The following is a 17,174-nucleotide window of genomic DNA, read 5'->3' on the forward strand; positions in this document are numbered from 1 at the left end:
CCTTAAGATTATTAGGGCTTGAATTCTTTTTCTGGAATTTCTTATATTTCCTTATGATTGGAGTCTGTTACTGGAGAATTACTGCTTTCCCTTAGAGGTCACATTTCTTTACTTTTTCATGGTTGATATGTCCCTATGTTGATTTTCTATGCATCTGGCAGAAAAGTCACGTCTTCCAATTTTATGGAAGGTTTCATAGGGAAAGACTTAGTTGTATGAATGGGTCTTGGTGTATCAGTTCAATGGGGTGTGTTGGCCTTGGTTCTGGAGGGACATAGTGGTGTAGTCTCCATGTAGTTTCTTCAGCTATAATCTACACTAATGACACTTGTGAGTTTCTCCGTGGCCTGGACTGAGAGAATTTGTGGTGATGGTGGTGTAACTTTGCTGGCGTGGCTTGCCAGGGTGTTTCTCAGGTTAGGGGCGCATGTATGCACACAATGGATCAGCCAGATTGGGATTTTGCTTGGTGGTGTTGGGGCCACAGGGCTGTTACTCTAGCCAGGAACATGAGCATACAATTGCTTGGCTGGCCTGAGGATGTTCTTGCTAAGAGCAGCTCACACGACTGTTTCTCGGGCCTGGGATGTGGTCACACAGCTGCTTGGCAGGTCTGGTGATATGTCTGCTGGGGGCAACTCACGGGGCTGTTTCTCAGCGCTAGGAACAGCTGCACAGCTGCTTGGCTGGTCTGGGGCCACTTCTGTGGGAGGTAGCCCGGAAGCCTGTTTCATAGGCATGAGACATGGGCCTATGAAACACAGCAGTGCTCAATTGGCTGGGGGGGAGGGCATCCTACCAAGGTGGCCCATGGGGCTGTTTCTCTGTCTAGGGACATGGGTTCACAGCTGCTCAGTTGTCCTGGGGGCATATCTTCTGGGGATGGGCCATGGAGTCATTCCTCAGTCCTGGGAAGTGAATACACACCTGCTCAGCTGACCTGGGGGCATGTGTGCTGGAGAAGCCCATGGGGTAGTTTCTCAGGTCTGGGATGCTAGTGCAAGGCTGCTCAGCCAGCTGAGGGGTTGTGCCTACCAGGGGCAGCTTACAGGGCTGTTTGTCAGACTCTTATTGGGGGCACAGGCCATTGGGTAAGCCAAGAACATGTCTGTGGGAGGTGGGGGCACTGTGGGGCTGTTTCTCAGGTCCTGGCATGGGCACATAGTCACTCCACTGGCCTGGGGGCATATCGGCTGCTCAGAGACTTGGTAATCTTTTCCTCTTGGGGGAGGGTGCACAGTGGTTTGGCTGGCTGAGGGTGGGTTTGCCCCAGGGAGGACTGGCAAACTGTTACTCTGGCTAGAAGTGCAGTGATGGTGGTTGGTTTCCCTGCAGCTGGGGTTGTGGTATTCAGCCACCTGTGTGGACTCGGAATGATGAAGATGGAGCCCCACTGCTGGAGAGGTGCAGTGGCTCCTGACCCCCAGGGCAAGACACTCTTCAGAGGTGTCTCTGGCCTCAAGATGGTGCTCTGCTGCAGCAGATTGGCTCAAAGCGGGTAGACAGGGGTGGGAGTGCACACCTTGTGGTCCTTATTCAGGGCAGTGTGGCTGTATGAATTCCTGGTAGCTCTCCAAACTGGGCTCAGGGCTTGTGAGGACTGTGGGATTCTCGTGTTATATAAGGACTGTTTGTATTTGTAGTGGCAGTGGGGGCTGGTGGGAATCTTCTGCTTACCTTTTCCCTACAACAGGAATTCCCTCCTGACTCTAGGCCAATCCAATCAGGGAGGGAGCATGGTGGGAGGGGAGGCTGCAGAGACCAGTTGCATCTTGCTGTCCTCCTGAACTTCCAATGACCACAGGTGCATCTCCAGTTCCCTGCTACACTCTGGTGCTCTCCCTTCAACACTCCAGTCAAATCTTAGCTGTTCATTCATTGCCTTTGTTCTTTTCTTGTAGTGGGGGAAAATGTCAGGCATCTCTAGTCAGCCATCTTGCTGACATCTGTCATCTTTTTATTTTAATAACTTCATTACCTTGGGTCTTTCTTAATGGCTTTTCCATTTTGATAGAGCCTTTTTAAGATGGTAATATATGAAAGAAGATGAGTTAATACTTGAATTACAACCAATAAAAGACTACACTGAAGTTTTGATTTTTGTTCTAAGGCATGAAAATTGGTGATGAGTGGGTCTAGAAACAGGATAGGAACAGTTTATCATATGGGAAAGGTGCCACAGTCAAGGTAATAAGTAGTTGCTGACATAGGAACTTCTTTGAAGTCACACAGTAGACTTTTTATCAAGGCTTCCAGTTTAGGTACACCATGACCATCTATCTTCCTCCATTCCCGCTTTCCTCTCTTCTTTTACTTCTTCCCTTTATCCCATCCCCATCTGAGTTCACAACTATGGTCTTGGAATCTAGAATGTTGCCTGGGATAATCTAAGTGTTCAATAAATTTTTATTGAGTAATGTAGGCTATTTTTCTAGGGCCTTTCAACCTTCTAATAAAATAATTATTAATTTAGGGTCAGTTAATGAGCTAATGGTGATCTTCCCTACTGTAGAAACATTTGCATATAGGGTTAAAAAAAAAAGGCAATGGAGTAAGCCATATCTTTGTCCGAATCCTGGTTCTAAGTGTGTGATTTTAGACAAGTTGCTTAAGACCTTTTAATTTGTTTTCTTATGTGTAAAGTGAGGATAATATTTATTAAGTACTTTGCAAGGTGTTATAAATATTGGTATTAATGTACATTTGACAGGATATATATTTTTTTGAATGTCAGGGTTTTTTTTTGTTTGTTTGTTTGTTTTCCAGGATCACTTCTGGTTCCCCCCGCCCACCCCTCATCCCCCATCTCCCCCACAAAGCCAGTTTGATTGTGTTCATTGCTTTGTTTTATTCTTCATGTGTGGTCACAGAGGTATTTATCATTTCTGAAACCTGGCTAAACCTCTTTAAATTTTAGTTTTCTTTAAAAATTATGATAAAATACATATAGCATAAAATTTACCATTTTAGCCATTTTAAAGTGTTCAGTTCAGTGGCATTAAGTACATTCACATTGTTATACAACCATTACCACCATTCATCTTCTGAACTGTTTTAATCTTGCAAAACTGAAACTCTGTACCCATTAATCAATAACTCCCCATTCCCTGCACCTCTCTAGCTCCGTCAGCGTCATTCTACTTTCTGTCTCCATGAATTTGACTACTCTAAGTACTTCATATAATGGAATCATATAGTGTTTGTCCTTTTGTGACTGCTTTATTTCACTTAGCATAATATCTTCAAGGTCGATCCACGTTGTAATGTGATAATTTCCTTTCATTTTAAAGCTGAATAATATCCCACTATATGAACACAACACATGTTGTTTGTGTATTCATTCATAGATATTTGGGTTGTGTCACTTTTTTGGCTATTGTGAATCATGCTGTTATGAATCTGGGTATACAAATATCTTTTGGAGTCCTTGCTTTAAATTCTTCTGGGTATATAACCAAAAGTAAAATTTCTGGATCTTGTGGTAATTCTATGTTTAATTTTTTGAGAAACCTCCATACTATTTTCCACAGTGGTTGCACCATTTTAGATTGCCACCAACAGTGCACCAGGGTTCTGGGCTCCAATTTCTCTATATTCATATATGTATATATATATATATATTTTTTTTTGTTTTTGTTTTTTTGAGATGGAGTTTTGCTCTTGTTGCCCAGGCTGGAGTGCAATGGTGCAATCTCAGCTCACTGCAACCTCCACCTCCTGGGTTCAAGCGATTCTCCTGCCTCAGCCTCCTGAATAGCTGGGATTACAGGTGCCCACCACCACACCTGGCTAATATTTTGTATTTTTAGTGGAGATGGGGTTTCACTATGTTGGCCAGGCTGGCCTTGAACTCCTGGCCTCAAGTGATCTGCCTGCCTCGGCCTCCCAAAGTACTGGGATTACAAGCATGAGCCACTGCATCCCACCTGTTTTTTTTTTCTTTTTCTTTTTTTTAAATAGTGCCATCTGGCCAGGTGTGGAGGCTCACGCCTATAATCCCAGCAATTTGGGAGGCTGAGGCGGGCAGATTGCTTGAGCTCAGAAGTTCAAGGCCAGCCTGGGCAACATGGTGAAACCCTATCTCTACAAAATAATACAAAAATTAGCCAGTTGTGATGGTGCACGCCTGTAGTCCCAGCTACTTGAGAGGCTGAGGTGGGAGGATTGCTTGAACCCAGGAGGCAGAGGCTGCAATGAGCCAAGATCATACTACTGCACTCCAGCCTGAGCAACACAGTGAGACTCTGTCTCAATAAATAGTAATAATAAAATAAAAATAAATAGTAGCCATCATAATGGACGTGACATGACATCTTATTGTGATTTTGATTTTCATTTCCCTAATGTTCAGTGATATTGAGCAACTTTCCATGTGCTTTTGGCTGTTTGTATGTCTTCTTAAGATAAATGCCTATTCAAGTCAATTGCCCATTTTAAAATCAAGTTTTTTTTGTTGTTGTTGTTGAATTTTAGGTGATCCTTATATATTCTGACGTGAATCTCTTATTCGATATGATTGACTGGATAACACTTTTTAATTTTCTCTTTTTTAATATTGGATTTTTAGTTGTTTTGTGTTTAGAGCAGAGGAAAGTATATTGAAGGAGAAGTTCACTGCATCATTGTGGCCAGAGTCCTTACTACCTTTTAATTTTTAAAAAGTGGATTTGTTTTTAAAAATCAAAATATATGAATTTGCTTGTTTTATGATTACAATTATTTTAATGATAACAGCAACAAAAAAACTGTACATGAATGTAGGAAAGTATTAACTGCTGTTTTTCTTGGTAATTTACCTGTGGGTGATTTTTTTCTATTCACTTCTATTTTCACTTAAATAATAATGATAATCAATTTCTATTATGATGATATAAATAGGCATTATTTAAAACAAGTAGGTTTTGTATGAAGAAAAAATGAGAGAGACAGGACAAAAGCTAAAATTAATTTCCTGGGTTAAGCAAGTATTTTATTGGTGGTGTTTGTTTTATGTTTTGTTTTAGCTTATTATTATTTTTTGTTAGAGGAGAGATTATTGAACATGTGTGTACATATAGCGGAAGGAATTAACAGAGAAAAAAGCTGAAGAAGTAAGAGGGATAAGACAATGGTGACTGATCGCTGGAGCCAGGTCCTTTAGGAGAGAGAAGATAAGAATCCAGAGCACTCACAAGGAAATTGGCCCCCGTCAAGAGGAAAAATAGCATAAATCTAGGAGAGTGTGTAATAAATCTGTAGGCTCGAAGGCCTTGAAGCTGAGAGATGGACTGTTTTCTCTAAGCAGTAGAAGTGTCTTTTTTCAGAGAGTGTGTGGGAGGGCAAGTAGAAGCAGGGAGGTCATTTTGACATTTGCACTGTGATTAGGAGAGTGAGCTGACTGGGGCAGGCAAAAGGCATTTCTGAGTGACATTTAAGTGGCTGCAGTAGGAAATAATTCATTTATTCTGGCAGCAATCAACTGGCTGCTACATGTAGAAGAATATACAATGGATAATTGGATGATCTGTGGGTGAAAAAAAGATATCTGAAAATTTTGTCAAGAGCATAGGATTTGAAGATCCATTGGGTCTATCTTGGCTGAATATGGAAGGAAACTGCTGATAAATTAGATCGAGACAGAAGGACTGTGAGATTGGAGCTCTCTGTGCGAAGTAGAAAGTGACGAGGTCTGAATAAAGGAGTAAAAAACTGGAAAGTAGGAAGCTGTGGTCAGACAGAAATTTTGGAGGATTTTTATCAGACTTGGCTAAGAATTCTTAAATTTCAGATTTTTTCAAAGTAATACTCAGAAATGTTTGTGTCTCATTAGATTCAATTTGATTTTATTTTTGAGACAGGGTCACATGCCACTTTGTCACCCAGCATGGAGTGCAGTTACATGAACATGGCTCACTGGAGCCTCCACTTCCCAGGCTCCAGTGATCCTCCACACTCAGCCTCCAAAGTAGCTGGGACTGCAGGTGCATGCCACCATGCCTGGCTAATTTTTTTTTTGTATAGGTGGGGTTTTACCATGTTGCCCAGGCTGGTCCCAAACTCCTGGGCTCAAGTAACCCATCCACCTCAGCCTCCCAAAATGCTGGGATTACCAGTATGAGTCAATGTGCCCAGCCTCATTACATTTTATATAAGAATTACATTCTTTTTTCCACTTTCTTTCTTTCTTTCTTTCTTTCTTTCTTTCTTTCTTTCTTTCTTTCTTTCTTTTTCTTTTTTTTTTGGCAGGGAGAGGAGAAAGGGAGGGTCAAGAATGGTTTCTTTTCTCATTTCTGCTTCTGTAGAAGACATGTTAGGTCATTTTTCCCAGAGAAATGTTTGCATTATGAATGGACAAAATCAAGAAGTTGCTATTTATTAAGTCTGGTAATGAAAATTTGAAAAAAACTAAATTGTACATTACTGAATTGAAAATGTGAAATAGGGCCAGGCATGGTGGCTCATGTCTGTAATCCCAGCACTTTGGGGGGCCAAGGCAGGTGGAACACTTGGGTCAGGAGTTCAAGACCAGCCTGGCCAACATGGTGAAACCCTGTCTCTACTAACAATACAAAAATTGAGCTGGGCGTGGTGGCACATGCCTATAATCCCAGCTACTGGGGAGGGTGAGGCAGGAGAATTGGTTGAACCCAGGAGGCGGAGGTTGCAGTGAGCGGAGTTTGCACCACTGCACTCCAGCCTGGGTGACAGAGTGAGATTCCATCTCAAGAAAATAAAAATAAAAAGCGAAATAGATTTTCACATTAAATTGCTAAGCCTGATTATACCAAATATTCTATTTGACATTTTATTATTAATACTTTATTCCTTTTCTTATTTATGGCGTTCTGGTAATAAGAATGACTTACACATTATCTTAGCACCTTGGGGGGCTAAGGTGGGCAGATTGCCTTAGCTCAGGGGTTCGAGACCAGCCTGGGCAACACAGTGAAACCCCGTCTCTACTAAAATACAAAAAATTAGCCAGGCGTGGTGGCGTATGCCTGTAGTCCCAGCTACTCAGGAGGCTGAGGCAGGAGAATTGCTTGAACCTGGGAGGTAGAGGTTGCTGTGAGCTGAGATCATGCCACTGCACTCCAGCCTGGGCTACAGAGCGAGACTCCATCTCCAAACAAACAAACAAGAAAAAGAATGACTTACACCATCTTATGATCAGTATTGTGATAATCAGAATAACTTATACCATCTATTTTCACAAACTGAATTAAATGGGGTAATATACATGTATAGAGGAAAATTTGGGCAAATATTTGGTTGTTACTAAATTATCTGAATTTGTTTGTTGGAAGGGAGGACAAAACCTTTCTCCTCTGACCTACCAGATTTAGTAACTGGGGCTCTGCAAAATAAACTGACAAAAGACAGATTAGCAGGAGAAAAGAAAACAGAGGTTATTTATGTGTGTAGTGTGCAAACATGTGGGAGGAACTCACTAATGAATAACTCAAAGGGGTGGTTAGACAGACCCCAGGGATTAGATACTATTTTAACAAAGAACGATAAATTTGTGGAAGAATGACAAGACAAAGGAAAAGGAGATTTAGGTTTTCGGAGACAGCAAACTTTGGAGAGGTAAATATATGGGGAAACTAATGGAAGATAAGTGTTGTTTAGTAAGGTTTGTTATGTAGCTTCCTCTTGGTGCCACCTCTGGGCTGATAAGAGTCTAGAGTTATGTCTGGTGATTAACTCATTTGTCTCTTCCTGGAACAAGAGAGAGGAGGGAGGACTTTTTTTTTTTTTTTTGAGACACAGTTTTGCTCTTGTTGCCCAGGCTGGAGTGCAATGGCACAATCTTGGCTCACTGCAACCTCTGCCTCCCAGTTTCAAGTGATTCTCCTGCCTCAGCCTCCCAAGTAGTTGGGATTACAGCCATGTACCCCCATGCCCAGCTAATTTTGTATTTTTAGTAGAGATAGGGTTTCTCTGTGTTGGTCAGGCTGGTCTCGAACTCCCAACCTCGGGTGATCCACCCACCTCGGCCTCCCAAAGTGCTGGGATTACAGGCCTGAGCCACCGCACCCGGCAAGGGAGGGCATTTTTACAAATGAGAATGTATGCCCAGCTTTTAGGCAAACATAGGTGGAGAGTTTTCTGGTTTGTGTGTGTGTTTTGCATCTGCTCTTTCTCTATTGCCTTCAGCTCAAAATAATAGTGCCAAAGTGGCATATTTTGGGGTAGCATTCTCTGATCCCCTTTATTGTCTATCTTTATCAAACTCGGATTGCTTTTTCTTCCTTTTCACCTCAAGGTTTTTTTTTTTTTTTCTTTTTTTTGAGATGGAGTCTTACTCTGTTGCCCAGGCTGGAGTGCAATGGCACAATCTTGGCTCACTGCGACCTCTGCCTGCTGGGTTTTAGTGATTCTCCTGCCTCACCTTCCCGAGTGGCTGGGATTACAGGTGCACAGCACCATGCCCAGCTAATTTTTTGTATCTTTAGTAGAGATGGGATTTCACCATGTTGGCCAGGCTGGTCTCGAACTCCTGACCTTGTGATCCTCCTGCCTCGGCCTCCCAAAGAGCTGGGATTACAGGACTGAGCCACCACACCCAGCCTCACCTCAAGCTTTTGATATATGGACAGGGCCACCATTCTTCAATAACGTCATCTGGGCTAAGATCCCTGATGTCTTTTGGTGGGCAGACTTCCCGTAGTTAAACCTTATCTTTTCTCCCTACCAGCAAAGAGAAGATGATTATTCCACTGGCTGCTGACCAATGCCAAACTGACCATTGGACTAGTTCAATTACTGCCTTTGAATCTTTTCCTAAGCAGTGCCACTTAGTAAACACTCTCTATTCTATTAAGTACCCAGCTATTCTTTTCTCCTTACTTAAGAAGCTCCTGAAAACAAAGCTCATCTGCGGATGCTTCACTTATGACCCTGTAAGAGATGCCCTCACCCCATTTGACCTATCTTAAGTATCTTGCTGTCCATTTAAGGGTTGGTTTAATGTTCCTGTTCTGCTTCTATTGTGACATTTTGAGTTCCATGATAATAGGGAACATGTTTATTCAACTTCTGAAAAACTACAATGCTTAAGTATGTTGATTTCTGCAAGTAGGCACTTAAAACTGTTTTATAAAGTTGATGACAACAATGATGGTATCAGAGAAACTAAGTCCTTATGTGCTTTCTAAAGCTAGTAATAGATTTCTGAGGTCTTAACATTTGTATTTAGGATGTGATATATGTTCCTATTATTATTTGCTTTTGAATGTAAGACCATCCTTTAATCTTCCCTTCAAAATGAATAAGACTGAGAGAAAAATACAGGCTGTTTTTAATCTCAATTTTAGTGGCTAACTTATGTGTATTTTTTACTTTAAGCTGCCTCAAATTCATTTTAGGAAATGTACACACTTATATATAAAAAGATTAAATAAATTCATGGAGGAAGTAAGGTAAGTTCCCCCCCCATGTCGCTGAGAGTTCTAATCCTTCGTTCCCTAACTCTTGGAAATCTTACATCTTGATTGTTTCTGTTTTTCACAATGGGTAACAAATTAGACCAGGGAAATTATAAAGCATGCTTAGTTCATTTTGTTATCTTTGTATATTGCAGAGGATGATGACGGAGGGAGAAAAACATACTTGTAATAGTGGCTGATTATGCTGCACAGTTCAAATCACTAGAGGATTTTCTTTTGAGATGATAAAAATGTGTGTAATGAAACAGTAGATGAAATAAATTATACAAAAATCCTTTAATTAAAGTATTTAAGGTATCTTTCATATGGGAGCAAGAAGAGAATGAGTTACTGGAATAAAAATAATTGTATGGCTCATAAAAATTTCTATTTGTATATCATTCAACAGATTATTCCATAGTGTCTCAACCTGTCATTTCTTGCTCTCTCGTTACATAGCTTCTTCCCCTCTTTCTGAAGGCCAGCTTATTCTCAGTTAACTTCTATGAGCTTTGTCCTAAGAATGAAATAGGTAAGAATAAGAAAATGAAAACTGATGCCCTAGTCTCTGTAGAGGTACAGAAATAATTCAATCTTACTCTCCCGGAATTTTGATTGTAGTATCACAGATTTTGAATCATGTTGGAAATCTTCCTCTCAATAGGGTTTAGTAGAAAGGCAATTGATTTTCGACTTAGAAGACCTACATGTGATTATCACCTTATAGTTTGCAGTTGTATGAACTTCAGGCAGTCATTTAACCATTCGAAGTCTTAGTTCCTCATTTCTAGACTAGCAGTAATAATAATTGTCTCATGGGTTGTTGTATCAAAGTATATAAAAGGACCTTGTAACCATGAAGTGGGGTACAACTATATCATCACTGTCATCATAATTTTATATGAGAAAACTGAAATTAGTCAGAAAGATTAACTATTTTCTCCAGGGACACACAATTTATTAGTAATAGAGCAGAAACTAAAAGCTGAGTGTCCAAATTCTTAGTTTAGATTGTTTCTCTTTGACTCTTTTCAAAGTTCTTTATTTTAATTTGTAGGAGCCTTGTTTTTCTCTCTCATTCTGTATGATTGGGTTTTACTCATCGTGAGTAAATAAGAGTAAAAATTTAAATTGTGTTTTTCTTCTTTACAATTTTAAACTTGAGCTTGAGGGATGTATCAAGCTCAAGTTTCAGAGGAAAGAAAAAGCGAATTCCTAAGGGCTCCCTTTTGCAGACCATTTCCTTGCAGGAGCTTGATTGCCCTTCACAGGAGTGGGACCTGTTTTTGTGTCTGGGAAATTGACCTTTGCTGTGGCTTCTCTGCTACAATAGGTGGTGGCAGGAGATGTGTAGAAGCTCACCACGCAGCATTTGATGGCAGAACTCCAAAATGCCTGACACAATTCCTAATCAGAAAGATCATCTCCGATGGGACCCTCCCAAGGATCTCCTTCAGTCAAGACCTTGCATTTAATCAACAGTGTCCTTTGTCCAGAGGATTAAGATAGTGTCCTCTCTACAGAGTGTTCTGACTCCTTCTGTTTTAGTTAAGAGGGAGTAGAAATTGAATAGGAACAAAAGAGACTTGCGCCAGAGGAAGGGGGTTCATTTTATGTAGTTATAAATTGAAAAAAGTGAAGCATATGTTACAAAGGCACATTTGATACTAATGTGTCTCCAGGTGACTTTAGTAATACGATTAGCGTTTCAGCTATGCTCTTCTTGTTAACATTTTCAATTTGTATCAAATTTTTCCTTTTTAAAGGAAACAGCTATCAGCAAACAGCTAGGGGATGTCCAGTGGAAAATTTAGAACTGCACTGGAGAAAGTGTAGTTTCAAAACCAAAGAACATAGTGATATAATGCATTGAATAAAGTGAGGGTTCAAGTACTCATTTTAGAGCCTGCCAAGACCAAATAATTTTACCCCAGTCAGAAACAAGGCCAGAAAAAGAGATGTTTTAGGGAATACCATTCCACCCTCAAACATTTACCTACAAGGGATATATCAAGGGACATGCCAAGAAGAAATAATAGTTACAGACATTTTGGAAATACCTGCAACAGAAAATATCTTCTGTAAAATTAGTGAGAGAAGTTGTTAAGTATCCAAGAGTAACAAGAAATGAAAGGGAAGTGGATTTTCTTGACAATGGCTGCTGAAACTGTGTGTGTTGTATAGGAAATGACTTGCAGGAAAAGCGCAAATTCTTTTTCCTTAGTGAAGGAATTATACTGCATATGCAGAGGGTGGGGGAAGGGGAGGCCTTATTTCATTGTATTGTCATAGGGGGTTTTGGGCCTTGGAGCCAGAGCAACATGGGTTTGTATCCCAGTTCTGTTTCTTACACTGCTGGCTGTAAGGCCTATTAAAAAAAGATAATGTATTATTTGGAAATATCTTCAGCTGAGAATACAGAATACCCAATTAAATGTGGCTTAAACTGTAAAGACATTAAATTATATCACTTAAAAAAAATTCTAGGGTGGCTTATGCCTATAATCCCAGCACTTTGGGAGGCTGAGGTGGGTGGATTGCTTGAGGCCAGGAGTTTGAGACCAGTCTGACCAATATGGCGAAACTCCATCTCTCCTAAAAATACAAAAAAAAATAAAAATAAAAATTAGCTAGATGTGGTGGCATACGTCTGTAGTCCCAGCTACTTGGGAGGCTGAGGCAGGAGAATTGCTTGAATCCAGAAAGCGGAGGTTGTGGTGAGCCAAGATTGCACCAGTGCACTCCAGGCTGGGCGACAGAGAGAGACTGTCTGAAAAAAGAAAAAAAAAAGTATTCTGAGGGCAAGTTATGGTGGTACTGATGGAGCAGCTCAACAATGTCATTCCGGATCCAGGCTGTGTGTGTGTGTGTGTGTGTGTGTGTGTGTGTGTGTGTGTGTGTGTGTGTGTTTTCCTTTGTTATTCTGAGAACATTGGCTTCTTATTGTTAGGCTGGTCAAGTCATGGCCCCAAGATGACCACCTTAGGTCCAAAATAATGCCTCACATAGTTATAGCCAAAGCAGAGAGTCAAGGAGTGGAGACAATAGGATTCTCTCCTCACGAGGAGGCTCTGTCTTTTATGTGGGAAGAAACCTTTTCCTAAAGTTCTCTGGCAGACTTCTCATTATGTCTCATTGGTCAAAACTAGATTACATCTGCTCCACTGGGCCACGCCCATCAACCACTGATTTAGTGTGGGGATGAGGTTGAGGCCTATCTTCTCCACAAGATCTATTAGCAACTCACTATGCCTGCAACAGGTAATATTTATCTTGCAGGGTACCAAGGTAGTAAGCATTAGGGATAATACATCTAAAGTTGTTAGTACTTCACCTAGCTTATCGCAGGCATGCATTAAATGACCATCATTATTATAACTTTTAAAATTATTTGTACTTTTTCTACAATCTTTTATTTTACTGTGAACATTTGAATATAGTCATAATCAGTGTATACAATTTTGGACTCTGCTTTTATTTCACTTCTCTTTATAGTCTAAGTGTTTCCCAATGTCTCTGTATAGACTCAATAAAACTTTTTAAATGACTGCATTGAATTCAATCTATCAAGTGGCTGCATTAGAATTTAATTTAATTATTTTTACATATATAGGATGCTTCCAGTTTTTTTTCACTATTATAAGACATCTTTGTATATGTAAAACATTTTGTATTTTGGATTGGTTATTGAGGAGAGGTCCAGGAGTGGCATTATTAGGTGAAAAGGCAAGACACAAATTGGCTAGCTGTTTACCAAACAATTTCTTTTTCTGCCTGAGCCCGCAGGTAAACCACATTTCTCAAGCTCCCTCAGGCTAGGTATGTCCAGTGACTGAATTCTTGCCAGTGGAATAAGACATATTTGATGTACTCCACTTTCGAGCCTGATTCAGAAAGACTCTGAAACCTCCATTCTCTCCCTTCTACTGGGCATCTATTTCCTGGATGACCTTAAGACAAAGATGGCAGAACCTTCAAAGTCTTGGACCCTGAATGACTGCCTGGAGTAGAAGCTCCACTCTACTCTCATGTTAGGAATTGACATGAGCAAGTAACACATTTTATTATGGTAAGCCAGGTATTTAGGGAGTTATCTTACAGCTGTTGTTACTACAACTAATATAGAAATTGGTGCTTTGAAATGGTAACTACTACAATGAGTAAGGCATTAAACTACTTTTATACATATAATCTTTTAAACTAAAAGAACAAAAAAGAATTTATTTAAATAGAAGCATTAACATAGCTGAGATAGAAAATTAATATGTACACAGGAAGAAAACAAACCTACAAATGCAAATTGCCTGAAATGATTCATAATTTATGTTAATAGAAAGCAATTAATAAAAATTATTTATCACAATAATTTCTAAGCAATGCACATATTTAATTATTTTAGTTTAAGGCCATCAAGTAATTAATAAATTATTTTTAATTAAAATTAATTACTTTTAAATCTTGTTGAGTGTTTCTTTTAAAAAACGTTATAGTACCCCTTGCTTGTGGCACGATATAGCCCTGTGAGCAGCCAATCCAGGACATACTAGGCATTTTAGTAAGCCTGGTTTGTATCCCCAAAGTTAAGACCCTGAAATTGTGTTCAGACCCATTCCAGCAGAAGAGATGGCTTTAATCTAGAACTTTGTGTAATCTGGAGGGCCCCAGGCAACTGGTTGAGCAGTAGCAGTACAGGCTGATGATTGCTTTTGTGCTCTGTGGGAGGCATAGCCCAAAAAGAGCTGGGTAACTCAGGTTTTCAGGAAAGTAATTTTGGGACAAGGGTTGCCCGAACTCTTAGCATGTAATTAGTTAACCATGCTCAATAGCTCTGAGCAAGCCAGGTATTTCCCAACTGATAAATGATAAAACATAGATCAAGGTATAATTCCATGCCTGCCCTAGAGTGAGCACAATGATGATGATAATGATGATGATGATGGTAATCAGGCTACTGGACTTATCTGGTGAGGTTGACTTTCACCTTCTAATAGCAGAGAGTCAAAACCTGAGTTTAAATTGTGTTCCCTACTAGGCCAGGTCTGGTAGACCACCTTAATCTCAATGATGACCTGAGATAGTGGCTGGGAAGACAATTAAGCACTTGAGTTTGATGCAGGAGTGGTGGTTCACAAGGGTGAGAATTACAGCACTGTTTATTTTAGGATAAACAACTGATACAACTGAACTCTTTCCCTTACAGTGCTAGTTAAATAAGTTGTTATAGTGAATGGAATAGCATATGGTAGATTAAAAGAATGAGGTAGATCTATGTGTACTGACCTAGGAACATCTCTAGAACATGGTCTTAATTAAGCGAGAAGCAAATTTCAAGCAATCTACAAAGTAAGATCATTATGAAAAAGAGTTGAATACTAGGAGAAAACCACCCAAATTTGTTCAATTCAGTCAACTTAGTTCAATCTAATTATTTAAACAGTCCTTTATTCCTTTTTTTTAAAAAAAATTACCAATCATTCAGATTTCTCCTCCGTTTCTCTTCTACTCCCCAAGGTGGTGATTGTGTATATAGGGCATTTGCCAGGTCCTTTTGCTGAGGAGGGGCAGTGGGCCTTGTGTCCCTACTGTGCTTGTGGGCCTCCCTTTAGTCCTTGCTAGTCTATGTCAAGATGATTCCCTTATATTTCTGGCCACTGCTCACTCTACTAGAATCTGTGGCTGAACTTGGCCTCTGGTGAATTCTAGATTTCTTCTTCCAGCTTAGTGAGGAACCTATGGTCTTCAGTGGTGTGTTGAGTGCTAGGTGCCCCCTAGAAGTCTGGTTGTGATCTTAATTGGTTCCCAGTGAGGGAAATCTGCCTTGTGGTTCCAAGCCACAGGGTCACCACTGGCCCTGTTGAGACAGCTACCATGGGCTTGCCAGCCTGCACCACCACTTACTCTTCGTGGGCACATGGAAACTTTTGAACTGTTAGGTAGCTTTGATTTCACATGTGAGCAGAAGGAGACGCTGAACTTAGAATTTTCTTTTGCTTAACCAGGTTGCAACCATTGAGAGTCCTGTTTGAGGAAGCAGGGAAAAGCCTCTTAAACTCTTGCAATTCCAACATAATAGGAATTGCAATCATTTACTGAATATAAATATTTGTTTCCCTTATACCAAATTTACATTCTATTGTTTTGTTTCTGTACCTTTCTGTAAATGCAATTTTTAAAAAACCCATTCACAATCTTAGTGTCATCTTTTTGAAGATAATTTAAGTTGCAATTAAATTCAACCTGGAAGAAGACAATTAAATTTGAGAAGCAGGGAGAAAATGAATTGGGTTTTGAGGTGCTGTTGATGGGGGCCACTGGCAGCAAAGGCCAGACTGAGGTATCTTACCTGACTTTGTGGGCAACAGAAGCGCTGGCAGTTAATATCTTTGAAGAAAGACTGAAAAAGAAAAGAAGAAATCCAAGGACATCTCATATGGTAGGTGCCTGGACCACTCTTACTTTCTGTCTTCCTTCAGGGTTAAGCCTGAATGTCCTGTCCCCAAGAAAACTTTACCTAACCCACTAGGAATTTGGTTAGGTCTTCTATTAGGTTCTTATCCTATCATAGCAGATAGCATAAGTTTTAAAATGGCTGTTTTAACTGTGTATCTTCTTACTAGAAAGAAAACCCCATGAGGGTCTGTCTTATTCACCATTGGATCACTCTGCCTGGAATAGTGCCTGGTCGATAGTCAGCATTTAGTATACATGTGTTGAAAAGAAGAAAGAAAGGAGGAAGAAAGAAAGGAAGGAAAGAGAGGAAACAAAGTAATATGCTTGTTGAAGGTGCCAATAAATAATTGATTGGGTTGGGGACTGATATGGTTTGGCTGTGTCCCCACCCAAATCTCATCTTGAATTCCCATGTTGTGGAAGGGATCCAGTGGGAGGTAATTGAATCATGGAGACAGGTCATTCCCATGCTTTTCTTGTAATAGTGAATAAGTCTCACGAGATCTGATGGTATTATAAGGGGGAGTTTCCCTGCACAAGCTCTTTTTTTGCCTGCTGCCATCCATGTAAGACATGACTTACTCCTCCTAACCTCTGCCATGATTGTGAGGCCTCTCCAGCCATGTGGAACTGTAAGTCCATTAAACCTCTTTTTCTTCTCAGTCTTGGGTATGTCTTTATCAGCAGCATGAAAATGGACTGATAGAGGAAATTGGTGTTGGGAGTGGGGCTTTGCTGAAAAGATACCTAAAAATGTGGAGGTGACTTTGGAACTGGGTAGCAGGCAGAGGTTGGAACTGTTTGGAGGGCTCAGAAGAAGACAGGAAAAAGTGGGAAGGTTTGAAATTCCCTAGAGATTTGTTGAATGGTTTTGACCAAAATGCTGATAATGATATGGACAATAAGGTCCAGGCTGAGGTGGTCTCAGATGGAGATGAGGAACTTGTTGGGAACTGGAGCAAAGGTAACTCTTGTTATGTTTTAGCAAAGCGACTGGTGGCATTTTGCCCCTGCCCTACAGATTTGTGGAACTTTGAACTTGGGAGAGATGTTTTAGGGTATCTGGTGGAAGAAATTTCTAAGCAGCAAAGCATTCAAGAGGTGACTTGGTGCTGTTAGAAGTATTCAGGTTTGTTTATTTATTTATTTATTTATTTATTTATTTATTTATTTATTTATTTTTGAGACAGAGTCTAGCTGTTAGAAGTATTCAGGTTTGTTTGTTTGTTTATTTATTATTTATTTATTTATTTTTGAGACAGAGTCTAGCTCTGTCTCCAGGCTGGAGTGCAGTGGCACGATCAAGGCTCACTG

General features: G+C 40.2%; 1 long non-coding RNA gene across 1 annotated transcript in view; it reads left to right on the forward strand.

Moving 5' to 3' along the window:
* Positions 1-16,394, forward strand: part of LOC105370502 (uncharacterized) — a 73,457-nt gene extending 57,063 nt beyond the window's left edge. The window contains exon 6 of the long non-coding RNA XR_007064168.1: positions 13,197-16,394. This is a non-coding gene — a long non-coding RNA (uncharacterized LOC105370502). The remainder of the gene's footprint in view (positions 1-13,196) is intronic.
* Positions 16,395-17,174: the final 780 nt, after the last annotated feature.

Source organism: Homo sapiens, chromosome 14 (genome assembly GCF_000001405.40).
Source record: "Homo sapiens chromosome 14, GRCh38.p14 Primary Assembly".
Taxonomy (NCBI): Eukaryota; Metazoa; Chordata; class Mammalia; order Primates; family Hominidae; genus Homo; species Homo sapiens.